At 32.6% G+C, this 15,044-nt stretch overlaps 1 long non-coding RNA gene across 5 annotated transcripts in view; it reads right to left on the minus strand.

Moving 5' to 3' along the window:
* LOC107986306 (uncharacterized) overlaps positions 1-15,044 on the minus strand; it is a 201,750-nt gene that overhangs the window by 11,558 nt on the left and 175,148 nt on the right. For all 5 annotated transcript variants that reach the window (XR_001741797.2, XR_001741800.2, XR_001741798.2 and 2 more), the window contains 2 exons: positions 10,007-10,271; positions 8,808-8,894 (listed from right to left, as the gene is read on the minus strand). This is a non-coding gene — a long non-coding RNA (uncharacterized LOC107986306). The remainder of the gene's footprint in view (positions 1-8,807; positions 8,895-10,006; positions 10,272-15,044) is intronic.

The raw sequence follows: 15,044 nt of genomic DNA on the forward strand, positions 1-15,044 counted from the left end.
GCAAGGAAGTGGTCACCCCAGGCCTTGGGCAAGATTGAGTGATGTGATGGCTTTGGGTCTAACCCAGCACCATCCTAGTCATGGTAGCCATAGAGTACTTATGTGACCCTCCCCAGGAACCAGGTAGCTCAGCACAAAGAGAGATTCCATTCATTAAGGGGAAAGTAAGGGAAGCAAAAGAAGAGTCTCTGCCTGCTAATACAAAGAATTCTCCTGGATCTTACCCAAGACCACCAGGGTGGTACCTCCAAGAGTCTGCAAGTCACAGCATTACTGGGCTTGGGGTATACCCTAATGCAGACATGGCTGCAGTGACCAAAAACTCAGATTACAACACCAAAGTCCCTTCAAATACCTGGAAAGCCTTCCCAAGAAGGATGGTTATAAACAAGCCCAGAATGCAAAGACTCTAATACTTATCCCTTCTATGCTGAGATACCAAAAAGCATCCACAACCATTGAGACTATCCAGAAAAACATAAATTCAATGAACTCAATAAGGTAACTGGGACCAATACTGGAGAGACAGAGATATGTGATTTTTCAGACAGATAATTCAAAGTAATTGTTTTCAGGAAGCTCAGAGAAATTCAAGATAACACAAAGAAATAATGCACAATCTTATTCGATAATGTAACAGAAAGATTGAAATAATTACAAATAATCAACCAGAAATTCTGGAGTAGAAGAATGAAATTGACATACTGAGAAATGCATCAGATTCTCTTACCAGCAGAAGAAATAATTAGTAAACATGAAGACAGGCTATTCAAAAATACAGTCAGAGGATATAAAAGATCAAAGAATTAAAAAAAGAAGGGGACATGCCTACACAATTTGGAAAATATTCACAAAAGGGTAAATTTAAAATGTATTGGCCTTAAAGAGGGGGTAACTAGGGATTGGGAATAAAGTTTATTCAAAGGGATAATAACAGAGAACTTTCCAAATCTAGAGAAAGACATCAATATTCAAATATAAGAAGGTTATAGAAAACCTAGCAGATTTAACCCAAATAAGACTATACCAGGTATTTAATAATCAAACTCCCAGTGGTCAAGAATAAATGAAGAATGCTAAAGTTAGCAAGCAAAAAGAAACAAATAGCATATAAAAGAGCCCCAATACATCTGGCAGCAGACTTCTTGGTAGAAACCTTATAGGCCACTGGGGAATGGAATGACATATTTAAAGTCCTGAAGCAAAAAGACTTTTATCCTAGAGTAGTAAGTCTGAAAATATCCTTCAAACATGATGGAAAAATAAATACATTCCCAGACAATCAAAAGCTGAGGGATTTCATCAACACCAGACATATCCTGCAAGAAATGCTAAAGGAAGTTCTTCACCTGACAGAAAAACATATTAATGGGCAATAAGAAATCATCTGAAGGTACACAGATAAGTACACAGAAAAACACAGAATATTATAATACTGTCATTTTGGTGTGTAAACTACTCATGTCTTGAGTGGAAAGACTAAAAGGAATCCATCAAAAATATTAACAAAAACAACTTTTCAGGACATACATAGGGTAATATAATATAAATGGAAACAACAAAAAGTTAAAAAGTTAAAAAGAGGGTGCATGAAGTGTCAAGTTTGCATTCGCTTTCTCTTTGCTTGTTTATTAGTTTTTGCACTCAGAGTTAAGTTGTCATCAGTTTAAAATAATGGGTTACAAGATATTATTTGCAAGCTTTATGGTTATTTCAAATTTAAAAAATCTACCACAGATACACACACCAATAAAAGCAAGAAATTAAAACCTACCACCAGAGAATATTAACTTCACAAAAGGAAAGGAAGGAAGGAGGGAGGGAGGGAGGGAGGGAAGAGAAGACCACAAAATAACCAGAAAACAAAGCAACAAAATGGTAACAGTAAGTACTTAATTATCAACAGTAATAATGAATGTAGATGAAGTAATATTCTCTAAAAAGAGAATATCTAAAAACAGAAATCTAAAAAGAGTAGGAGTAGGTACACTTATATTAGACAAAATACATTTTAAAACACCAACTATTAAAAGAGACAAAGAAGGTCATTATAGAATGGCAAAGAGGACAAGTTAGCAAGATAATATAATAATTTTAAGTATATAGGCACCCTACCTTGGACCACTTAGATATAAAAAGAAAATATTAGAACTAGAGAGAGAGAGAGAGAGAGAGAGAGAGATCCTAATACAATAACAGCTGGAGAACTCGACACCCCACTTAGACAGCATTGGACAGATTATCTAGACAGAAAATAAACAAAGGAACATCAGAAGCAATCTCTCCTATAGACCAAATGGACCTCATAGATATTTACAGATCATTTCATCTAACAAATGCTGAATACACATCTCCTAAGCACATGGATTATTCTCAGGGATAGACCATATGTTAAACCACACTATGAGTTTAAAGAAATACTAAAAAGTAAATTCATATCGAGTATTTTCTCTGACCACAATGGAATAAAACTAGAAATGAGTAACAAGAGGAACTCCAGAAACTGCATAAGCACATGAAAGTTAAACAATTTGCCCCTGAATGACCAGAGGGTCAATGAAAAAATTAAGAAGGAAATTAAATTTTTTTCTTAAAACAAATGAAATTGGAAACACAATATACCAAAACTAAAAGAATACATCAAAAGCAGAACTGAGAGAAAAGCTTAGAGCAATAAATGGCTACATAAATATGTAGAGAAAACTTCAAATACACAACCTAATAATGCATCTTAAATAACTAGAATAAAAGCAAAAACCAAACTGAAAATCAGCAGAAGAAAAGTGATAATAAAGATCAAAGCAGAAATAAGTGAAATAGAAAAAAACACATAAAAGATCAAAAATATGAAAAGTAGTTTTTGAAAAGATATGCAAAATTGCTAAACCTTCAGCCAGACTAACAAAGGAAAAAACAGAGAAGACGGAAATAAATAAAATCAGTGATGAGAAAGGACACGTTACTACTGAAAAAATAGAAATTCGAAGCATCATTAGAGACTACTATGAGCTCTATATATGTACGTATATTGGGATATATGTACTATATCCCAATACATTGGACCACCTAGAAAAAAATGGATAAATTCCTAGACACATACAACCTACCAAGATTGAACCATGAAGAAATCCAAAACCTGAACACACCAATAACAAGTAATGGGATCAAAGCTGTAATAAAAAGTTTCCCAGCGAAGAAAAGCCTGAGATTTGATGATTTCACTGCTAAATTTTACTAAACATTTAAAAAAGAATTGATAACACTCCTATTCGGACTATTCTGAAAAATAGAGGAAGAAACATTTTCAAACTCATTCTACAAGGCCAGCATTCACTTACAGCAGAACCTGAGGAAGACACACCAAAAAACGGAAAACCAAAGGCCAATACCCCGATGCAAAAATCCTCAACAAAATACTAGCAAACTGAATTCAAGAACACATTAAAAAGGTCATTCATCGTGACCAAGTTGGATTTGTCCCAGGGATGCAAGGATGATTCAATATATGCAAATCAGTCAATATGATACATATCAACTAAATGAAGTACAAAAACGATGTGATCATGTCAATTACTGAAAACACATTTGATAAACTCAGTATCTCTTAATGGAAAAAAAAAAACTAAGAAAAAACTTGGTATAGAAGAAGCACACCTCAATACAATAAAATCTTATATGACAGACCCACAAATCGTATCATACTGAATGATGAAAAACTGAAAGCTTTTCACCTAAGATCTGGAACAAGACAAGGATGCCCACTTTCACTACTGTTATTTAACATGGTACTGGAAGTCCCAACTAGGGCAATCAGACAAAAGTAAGAAATACAGGTCATCCAAATTCAAAAGGAAGAAGTCAAATTATCCTTGTTTGCACAGATTCTATGATCTTATAATAAAAACCTAAAGACTCCACAAAAATCTTAAAGCACAGAAAATTAACTACTTACGAAAAAAATTAACCAAAGAACTAAAATATCTCTACAAAAAAAACTATAAAACGCTGATGAAGAAAATTGAAGAGAACTTAAAAAATGAAAAGATATGCCATGTCCATGGATTGGAAGAATCAATATTGTTAAAATGTTCATACTACCCAAAGCAGTCTACAGATTCAATCTAGTCACTATCAAAACACATAGAAAAATACATTTTTTTCTATTTCACAGAAATAGAATGTATAGAGATAGACAGTAAATGGATGGTTATCAGAGGCTTGGAAGGGTAGTGGATGAAAGGAAGTGATGATAATTAATGGTTACAAAAATATATTCAGTTACATTGAATAAGATCTAGTATCTGATAGCACAACAGGGTGACTATAGTCAATGATAATTAAATGTATATTTAAAAATAACTAAATTATATAATTGGAATGCTTGTAATACAAAGAAATAATAAATGCTTGAGATAATGAAAACCCAACTTATTGTGATGTGATTACTGTGCATTATATGCCTGTATCAAAATATCTCATGTACCTAATAAATATGTATACCTATTATGTACACCTAAAAATTTAAAATTAATATAAAAAAGGAAATAGAGTCAGTTAATGTCTTCTGGAGAAATATGACAGACATGATGCCAAAAAAAAAAAAAAAAGGATCGACAAAGTGTGAGCAGGGGTGAATTTGTTGTTAAAAAAATGTTTAAATAAAAAGAGTTGCTCTATGAGATAAATCACATGGATAATAAAGGAGGTAAAACAGTTTTAAAAAGTTAAAGTTAATTTGCCTTTGATACACCCAAGAGAATATAAAGGTGATACAACAGGGGTGTACGAATGTAAAAGGACTTGAGAGTGAAATAAATATTGATTAATTGAATTTGGTATTAAAATTCTTCCCAGCCTACCTCCAACTACTCACAGTTTCCTTTCACAATAATAGAGTAAAAATGGCTTGAAACTTCTATTTCATTCTTATTGAATTTATCTAAAATTGTTACTAATATTTATTTGTAAACAACATGACTTTTATTTTAGAAATTTTCTATGATACTATTTGCAATCTTATGAAAGATACAATGGTATCTAGAGAAAAAGACAATTTATTACATTAAATTTTTTCATGTGATCGTAATTATTCATGATGAAGTCATGTAATAGGTATTCCAAATTATAATCTGTATTATATTATAAAGGTTGGGTTTGATATCCAAAAATATTTTGGTATTTTGGAAACACAGGCAACTCATAAAAAAAAATTTATCGTGGCTTGAGGTATTGTGAACAGTGCTGCAATAAGTAGGATTTTTTTAAAGATTTGCAAATAATCTATACACCAAACCCCCAGGACATGCCATTTACCTGTATAATAAACCTGTACATGTACCCGTGAACTTAAAATAAAAGTCAAATAATAAAAATTAATAAAAATTTCCTGTGGTACTAAAAAAAAAAAAACACTTGCAAATGATGCATGCTTATAGTAATGAATAACTTATTTACCCTAATATGATTATTATATATTATATGCCAGTATCAAAATATCTCATGTACCCCATACATAAAAATTTTAAATTATATTGATGTTAATTAAAATATGCTATTATTTTTAATTTTACATAACACATTTAATAAATTAATTGCTTTATAATCCAGGTTTCTCTGAAAAAATTACTTATTAAGTTGAATTATGAATTTTTAAAATAATAGTATAGACAGATATAATAAAAGAGAGGCTTAGTTTTTTCTAAATTTATTTATTTAGGCTCATGGTTGCAATCTATTTGCTCACTCTAATTTTTCTATCACAAGAAAATATTCAAAATTTTTAGAGATGCTTTGGAATAAAGAGAAAATAGTATTAGTTACAATTTCTATGTAGTAAAGAAAAAATAATAATAACCCCAATCCCTATGTAGTAAATTTATAATCATGGCATGGCATATATTGTATATTCACATTGAGCACAAGTTTTATTCCATGGTCAAAACACAACCAATACAAGTTGCCAGGGTGTGAGCAAAGCAAGTTGGTAAATAGCACCTATAGCTGTCTTCCTGTCTGCAAGCAGATTTTGCTTCAGTTAAGTAATAGCACTTTACATTTTACTGAAAAGCTTGTTGTTATTTAGGAGGTGTGGTCCTCAAGGATAATTCTCAAGGTTTGTAGAGCATAATTCTCAAGGACTTTTATTTAATAGGACTGGAGAGGGATCTGGACATGTATTTTATAACAACTTCACCAAACGATTTTGAAGTAAAGGATGAGAATCACTGCTCAAAGCAACCTACCTCATTTTCCTGTGTCTCTTTTCATTGTCGTTATATAAAATGGATATTATTAGTTATTGGTAGTCACTGAATATTATTCATTAACTTCTTAGGTATCTGTAGCTTAGATCTATCATTTTAAGGCTATGAAATCCTTTAGGAAATTTGAAAAGATTACAAAAGTAAAAGATTATTTTCAGAATTCTAATTTTATAATTTAAAATTTATTACTCAACTTTGAAAACAGGGAGTTATATTTTAAAAATTTCAGTTAAATCAACAATTAGTTTAGATAGGCCTTTTTTGTTATGCTAGGCAAATTTGAGGACTGGATGTGTACATAGAATCAGAAATATTTAGAAGTTTTTTAATACTTAACTTCATTACTACATAAGTTGCAAAGTGGGAAATTGTAAAGGAGATGATGGATAGGCAGATGGAGTTTGATTACATGTAATAATAAGCCATATATTCATATACACAGCAGTAGCAACTAGTCTTCGCAGAAATCAGCAGTTTAGTCATCTGTAAGTGAACCATTTTCCCAACACATACAATGCCAAATAGGGGATGATAATAGAGAAACTAGAGAAAATTTAATGTGGGAAAAATTTCAGAAAAGAATGACATGCTGCCAAAATAATTTTCTTATATTCCTACATTTATCTTTCACATTTAGAATTTGTTCTTTAAATTTATGTTTCTTTTATTTTAAAATTAGTTAAAATTACTTAAGTCATGCAATATTTATGACATAAAATATTACTATGTGAATATTATTAAGTTTTTATGTATGTCTTATGCCAGAAGATTTTGGATCAAGTATCCAAATTTTATTACTGAAGTTCTGCTATTGGCCAGGAACTTAAATGAAATGCAGATAAAAATTTATCTATTTGTAGATTTGTTCAAAAAACAAAAGTGCTTGGTTGAAGTATATATATATATATATGTATTTATATATATATATTTAAATATCTGTATAAATTTATACATGTTTATATATATAAATATATATATATATATTTTATAATAGGCACAGTATGCACAGCAGACCTAATTCTAAACACCATAGTTTGAAAAGATGAGCCCAACTAATTGTGCATCATTAGTGGCATGGAATTTGCAATCAGGAAGATTTGGGAAGAGAAGTGGAATGTTATATAAAGTATGAGGATTTGGGAAGTGAATGTGATAGTGTTTGAACTCTAAGCATCTCTGGGAATTCAGTCAGGTTTGATTCCTTGTTCTTTTTTTAAAGGAATGGAAGGACATCATATCATCATAATGCAGCTATAAATTTATGGCGCTTTTTTCTCTCACAGGTACATATACGAAAAAGTTTATTTTTCTTTTTTTAATAATCATAAAATATAAACTTCCCTAGCTCTAGAGAAAAGCATTCTTTCTTTCTCCAATCCTTTACCCACTCTTCAATGAAGGCAAATATACATAGGAGATGCAGTATAGCAAGTCCTAGAAATAGGAGAAAGCAAATAAAGCAAAAATTACTTCATTATGTTATCTTTTTCCTTCTTTTTACGGTAGTAACATATGCTTTTTTTTAAACAAAATACCCAATTTGATTTCTCTTTCTTTTTTTCTTTTCTTTTTCTTTTAATTTATTTTATTTTATTTTTTTTGAGAGGGAGTTTAGCTCTTGTTGCCCAGGCTGGGGAGCAACTGCGTTACCGCTGCTCACTGCAACCTCTGCTTCCCAGGTTCAAGAGATTCTCGTGCCTCAGCCTCCTGAGTAGCTGGGATTACAGGCGCCCACCACCACGCCCGGCTAATTTTTTGTGCTTTTAGTAGAGACGGGGTTCCACCATTTTGGCCAGGCTGGTCTCAAAATCTTGACCTCAGGTGATCCACCCGTCTCGGCCTCCCAAAGTACCGGGATTACAGGCGTGGGCCACCGCGCCCGGCCCTATTTATAATCTTTAAAGAATTTCAACTTTTATTTTAGATTCAGAGGGTACATGCGCAGATTTGTTACCTGGGTATATTGTGTGATTCTGAGGTTTGGAGTGTGATTGATCCCATTACCAAGGTACTGAACATAATACCCAACAGTTAATTTTTCAAACCTTGTCCCCCTGTTTCCCTCCTCGTTCTGCTAATAGAGACCGTAGATGACACAAACAAACGGAAAAACATTCCATGCTCATGGATTGGAAGAATCAATATACATAAAATGGCCGTACTGCCCAAAGTAGGCCCCAGTTTCTATCGTTACCATCCTTATGTCCGGAGTAACCAATGTTTACTTCCCACTTATAAGTGAGAACGGGCGGGGTATTTGGTGTTTTGTTTCTGTGTAAAGTCGCTTAGGAAATGAACTTCAGTTCTATCCATGTTGCTGCAAAGGACATGATTTTGGTCTTCTTATGTCTGTGTAGTATTCCATGGTGTATATGTACCACATTTTCTTTATCCCATCCACTGTTGATGGGCACCTAGGTTGATTCTATGTCTTTGCTATTCTGAATAGTGTTGTGATGAACATGAGAGTGCATGTGTCTTTTTGGTAGAATGATTTTTTTTTTTCCTTTAGGATATATACCCAGTAATGACTGATCGACTTACAACAGTGATATAATTCTGGAATTTTCTTCTGTTTTGCAATTTTGACTTGGAGTGCTGATCTCCCACATGTCATTATTTCAACTAGCCCTAAATGAAAGAAACAACATAATTAATAAAGTCATTCTCAAATATGGGCAATTATGTATTATCAAACACCTAAACATCTAGATTCAACTTGGCAAAAGAAAAGCAAATTTTCTTCCCCTTTCACATCGTTTATTTAGATTTTGACGGATTATTTTTAAAGAAGGTAATTTAACTGTGTTAATATATACTCTAAATGTCAATCTAAACGTATTTTTCCTCTGTATGTAATACAGTGTATTGATTATGAATTCATATCGTATTTCTGATTCATTTGTCATCATTAAAATAAAATTATTCCAGTTGCCAACAAATAAATGGGTGGATACAACACTCAATTATTTTAATGCTGCCCAAAATTGAGCCAAATATTGTGAATATGAATTAGAAAATCCTTTTATGTTTGTAGAGTGTATTTTTCAAAATATGATTAATTTAACTTTATATGAAAAAGATTATTTGAAGTTCAGAGCTTATAAACGGTTTAAAGATGTAGAATACATTTTTAATCTACCCCAAATGTGTGAGTTGATTACAATTTACAGGAGGTAATTAAATTACCACTGGGTCTGATGTTAAACTTAGCTGAAGCAAAACTATCTTAAAACAAAAGTGTATATATATATATATATAGTATATTAAAATAATTAGCTAGCTATCCAGAAATTGAACAGACCTGAATTCAGAATACTATAATAGGTAACTAGTTTTCAAAATTATAGCTCCCCCAATCTTCTTTTATATCATGCTGTTATCATGTTCAAAGAAGAGCTTATATCTGTCTATCTTTTTCCATAACTTGATATAGAAGACAGAGTTTAATGTAATCACTGAATCATGTGACTGTTGCAATCGGGAAATAACCAGTTAATATCTTCAGTATTTTAGCAACTCATTTTTTCAAAGATGAACTAAAAATATTAAATACGTATAAATTTCACAGGTATATATTTAAAATTTTTATTTTATTGCATAGATAGATAATGTGGCCAATATAGTAAGTCAGTTATAGATATAATTCTCAACTCTTTCTGGAGAGATACGGTTTATAGATTGCTTACATAGTGAGCCAACTCTCCTCTGATAGGTCTTATCAACTTAATGTCAGGGCTTACCTTTTTGTAGAGGAAGATAACCCAAGGACATCAAACGATTCCAGGGTAGGATCTCCCTCTACTGATTCCTATATGTCTTCCTAAGGAATCAGTATGATTGTCCTATTGAGCAGAGAAGTGATCTCACATTTTGATGGTGTCCACAGCAAGAAGAGAATCCTACATTCCATTCCAATCCATTGGTGTAGATCTGTGCAATGCTCTGTGCTTTATTATCTGTATCTTATCTTCTTATCTACTGGTACTATTGGTAAAAAGGCACTCACTGTATGCAAAAAAAATGTAGCATACATTAATGAAAAAGTATGAGATAATTATTTTGAATTAATGCACAAGCCTGATAAAACGTAAATTTTCTCAAGAATTTTCTGGTAGCTCTTAGTATGTTCCTAAACTGTCATGTGTTTGCATTTGCTTATGGATTGTCATACTCCCCCAAAGCTCTGATGTCATTTTAGGTTGTCCCTGGTTTGTGAAAATAGTTGAAATGTAATAGTAATGTATTAATCATAATTTTAAATCTAGGCCTGCATTTCCCCTTAGAAACAATGTTAAAAATATTAAGTTCAAAAGAAAGATAAAATATATTTATATTAGCTTTTGATAAATGTGATGGATATTTTAACTGTAGAATATTTAAATATTTTTGAATATTTTAATTATAATTAAAATATTTATAATATTTTAGAATGTTTTAAGTGTAACTTGAGTTTATTAGAACAAATCTAATATTAACAACTTATTTTTTCATAATAATAATTTCAAATAATTTTACTTAAAATTTTCAGATATGTCAATCTAGAGAGAAAAATGTTGATTAGTGATAACTCAGGGCTAAGTGAGAAAAGGGTGTGGAATAAAGTTTAGTTTCTTTTAACAGGATAGAAATATTTTAAAATTAGATTGTAAATATACTAAAAAAATTTGTATGTTTTTAAAAGGATATATGTTATGGTATATAAATTCTAAGTCAAGAAAGGTTTGTATGTTTATACAATTTTATGTTGAATTTCAAGACAGCAGTAGGATAACCTTGGGTTATTACTTCAATGCATAGTTTGCTTCTCTCTTTTTCTTATAAGACTTTGTGTGTAGTGCTTCGGATGTCTCTTGCAGCTACACATCAGTTTCCCCTTATTATACCTAAATTTTCTCCTCTGCTTGCTTTCCTTTTTGTCTTTTACTGCATTTTCTTTATTAATTATGTATGTTTCTTTTTTATGTTGATACATAAAATGCTTTAAACATATCCTTACAAACTGAAAATACTATTTTATTTTAATTTACATTATAATTATTTCTAAATAGGTTATATATTTTACCTACTGATATTCAATTACTATTTCTCTGAAATTATATTTTGATTATAATAGTGGTTAAACTCACAAATTGAAATATACTTCTTTCATTAAGAAATGTAGATATTAGTGCTGTCACTTTATGTTATCCTGAAAAATTTTAGCTCCACTACTTAGCAGTAGCATAGATTAAAGTATATTGTTTTATAATTTTACAGTTAACATTTTAAAATTAAAGTTTATAATTTTTCATATCTGCTTTTTCATTAGGTTGTTCAAATTTATATGAACTAACTTTTCTCGCCAGCAGCATGTGAACTAGATAATTCTTTTGGTAAGGCTGTACAGTGAAGTCCAAGATGTTAGCTGCTTCCTTCGTCTCTACTCACTGATGCCAGTAGTACCTCATATTTGTGGCAATTAAATGTTTCCCGACATTGCCAAATGACCCCTGGGCAGGTGAGAGATAAAAGTCACCAGAGTTGAAAATTGCTGAATAAATCAACATAGATCCCAGCAGCAGGCTCTTTTTCCACCTCTGATTGCTGCCTCCCAGACGTCTTCCAAGATGCTGTTTCTCCTACTTACCAATTACATATTTATGTTTGTAACGCCCAATTTTTTGTCTCCCATGTTTTATATTTAATGCCCATGATGGGTAGTCTATAAATGTGGTTTCAATAATATTGGGGACATTTTACATAAAATACATAGTCAGTCTAAATCAATAAGTTGATATAACTATAATGTTTTAAATGTAAAGAAATTATTTTTTTCTAATTCAGTAGAAAATGGGATTGAAATTGTAAGCGAATATTGAGCCTCCACCCTGTATCTTCTGCATTAAGCCCTGTTTAGCTGGTAATAGTCTTATTTTGCCAGTGATTCAAAATCAGCAATTAATTGTATACATTTCAGGTTGCCTAACAGAGAGGACATAATAATCATTCAGGACTTACATAACCTGATTAACTGAATAATCACCAAATATTGCTGTGGAGGTAGCTAAAATATAATAATAAAGTTCACCTATTTATAAAAATTAAAACATTGAAAATTGGCTGCAACATTAAATCGATAAACCTTTCAATGCAAAATAATTTAATTCATGTCTTATGTCCCTCAAGTGTGATACATTCCTTAATGCTGCTTTTTAAAAAAAATTTTTTTAAAAAACTTCAAAAAAATGCTGCTTTTTAAAAAAACTTTTTAAAAAATACATTCCTTTTTTCTTTTTTTTTTATTATTATACTTTAAGTTTTAGGGTACATGTGCACAATGTGCAGGTTAGTTACATACGTATACATGTGCCATGCTGGTGCGCTGCACCCACTAACTCGTCATCTAGCATTAGGTATATCTCCCAATGCTATCCCTCCCCCCTCCCCTAACCCCACAACAGTCCCCAGAGTGTGATGTTCCCCTTCCTGTGTACATGTGATCTCACTGTTCAATTCCCACCTATGAGTGAGAATATGCAGTGTTTGGTTTTTTGTTCTTGCGATAGTTTACTGAGAATGATGATTTCCAATTTCATCCATGTCCCTACAAAGGACATGAACTCATCATTTTTTATGGCTGCATAGTATTCCATGGTGTATATGTGCCACATTTTCTTAATCCAGTCTATCATTGTTGGACATTTGGGTTGGTTCCAAGTCTTTGCTATTGTGAATAATGCCACAATAAACATACGTGTGCATGTGTCTTTATAGCAGCATGATTTATAGTCCTTTGGGTATATACCCAGTAATGGGATGGCTGGGTCAAATGGTATTTCTAGTTCTAGATCCCTGAGGAATTGCCACACTGACTTCCACAATGGTTGAACTAGTTTACAGTCCCACCAACAGTGTAAAAGTGTTCCTATATCTCCACATCCTCTCCAGCACCTGTTGTTTCCTGACTTTTGAATGATTGCCATTCTAACTGGTGTGAGATGGTATCCATTGTGGTTTTGATTTGCACTTCTCTGATGGCCAGTGATGATGAGCATTTTTTCATGTGTTTTTTGGCTGCATAAATGTCTTCTTTTGAGAAGTGTCTGTTCATGTCCTTCGCCCACTTTTTGATGGGGTTTTTTGGTTTTTTCTTGTAAATTTGTTTGAGTTCATTGTAGATTCTGGATATTAGCCCTTTGTCAGATGAGTAGGTTGCAAAAATTTTCTCCCATTTTGTAGGTTGCCTGTTCACTCTGATGGTAGTTTCTTTTGCTGTGCAGAAGCTCTTTAGTTTAATTAGATCCCATCTGTCAATTTTGGCTTTTGTTGCCATTGCTTTTGGTGTTTTAGACATGAAGTCCTTGCCCATGCCTATGTCCTGAATGGTAATGCCTAGGTTTTCTTCTAGGGTTTTTATGGTTTTAGGTCTAACGTTTAAGTCTTTAATCCATCTTGAATAAATTTTTGTATAAGGTGTAAGGAAGGGATCCAGTTTCAGCTTTCTACATATGGCTAGCCAGTTTTCCCAGCATCATTTATTAAATAGGGAATCCTTTCGCCATTGCTTGTTTTTCTCAGGTTTGTCAAAGATCAGATAGTTGTAGATATGCAGCATTATTTCTGAGGGCTCTGTTCTGTTCCATTGATCTATATCTCTGTTTTGGTACCAGTACCATGCTGTTTTGGTTACTCTAGCCTTGTAGTATAGTTTGAAGTCAGGTAGTGTGATGCCTCCAGCTTTGTTCTTTTGGCTTAGGATTGACTTGGTGATGCGGGCTCTTTTTTGGTTCCATATGAACTTTAAAGTAGTTTTTCCCAATTCTGTGAAGAAAGGCATTGGTAGCTTGATGCGATGGCATTGAATCTGTAAATTACCTTGGGCAGTATGGCCATTTTCACGATATTGATTCTTCCTACCCATGAGCATGGAATGTTCTTCCATTTGTTTGTATCCTCTTTTATTTCAGTGAGCAGTGGTTTGTAGTTCTCCTTGAAGAGCTCCTTCACATCCCTTGTAAGTTGGATTCATAGGTATTTTATTCTCTTTGAAGCAATTGTGAATGGGAGTTCACTCATGATTTGGCTCTCTGTCTGTTGTTGGTGTATAAGAATGCTTGTGATTTTTGTACATTGATTTTGTATCCTGAGACTTTGCTGAAGTTGCTTATCAGCTTAAGGAGATTTTGGGCTGAGACAATGGGGTTTTCTAGATATACAATCATCTCATCTGCAAACAGGGACAATTTGACTTCCTCTTTTCCTAATTGAATACCCTTTATTTCCTTCTCCTGCCTAATTGCCCTGGCCAGAACTTCCAACACTATGTTGAATAGGAGTGGTGAGAGAGGGCATCCCTGTCTTGTGCCAGTTTTCAAAGGGAATGCTTCCAGTTTTTGCCCATTCAGTATGATATTGGCTGTGGGTTTGTCATAGATAGCTCTTATTATTTTGAAATACGTCCCATCAATACCTAATTTATTGAGAGCTTTTAGCAAGAAAGGTTGTTGAATTTTGTCAAAGGCCTTTTTTGCATCTATTGAGATAATCATGTGGTTTTTGTCTTTGGCTCTGTTTATATGCTGGATTACATTTATTGATTTGCGTATATTGAACCAGTCTTGCATCCCAGGGATGAAGCCCACTTGATCATGGTGGATAAGCTTTTTGATGTGCTGCTGGATTCGTTTTGCCAGTATTTTATTGAGGATTTTTGCATCAATGTTCATCAAGGATATTGGTCTAAAATTCTCTTTTTTGGTTGTGTCTCTGCCCGGCTTTGGTATCAGAATGAAGCTAGCC

This window comes from Homo sapiens, chromosome 4 (genome assembly GCF_000001405.40).
Source record: "Homo sapiens chromosome 4, GRCh38.p14 Primary Assembly".
Classification (NCBI taxonomy): Eukaryota; Metazoa; Chordata; class Mammalia; order Primates; family Hominidae; genus Homo; species Homo sapiens.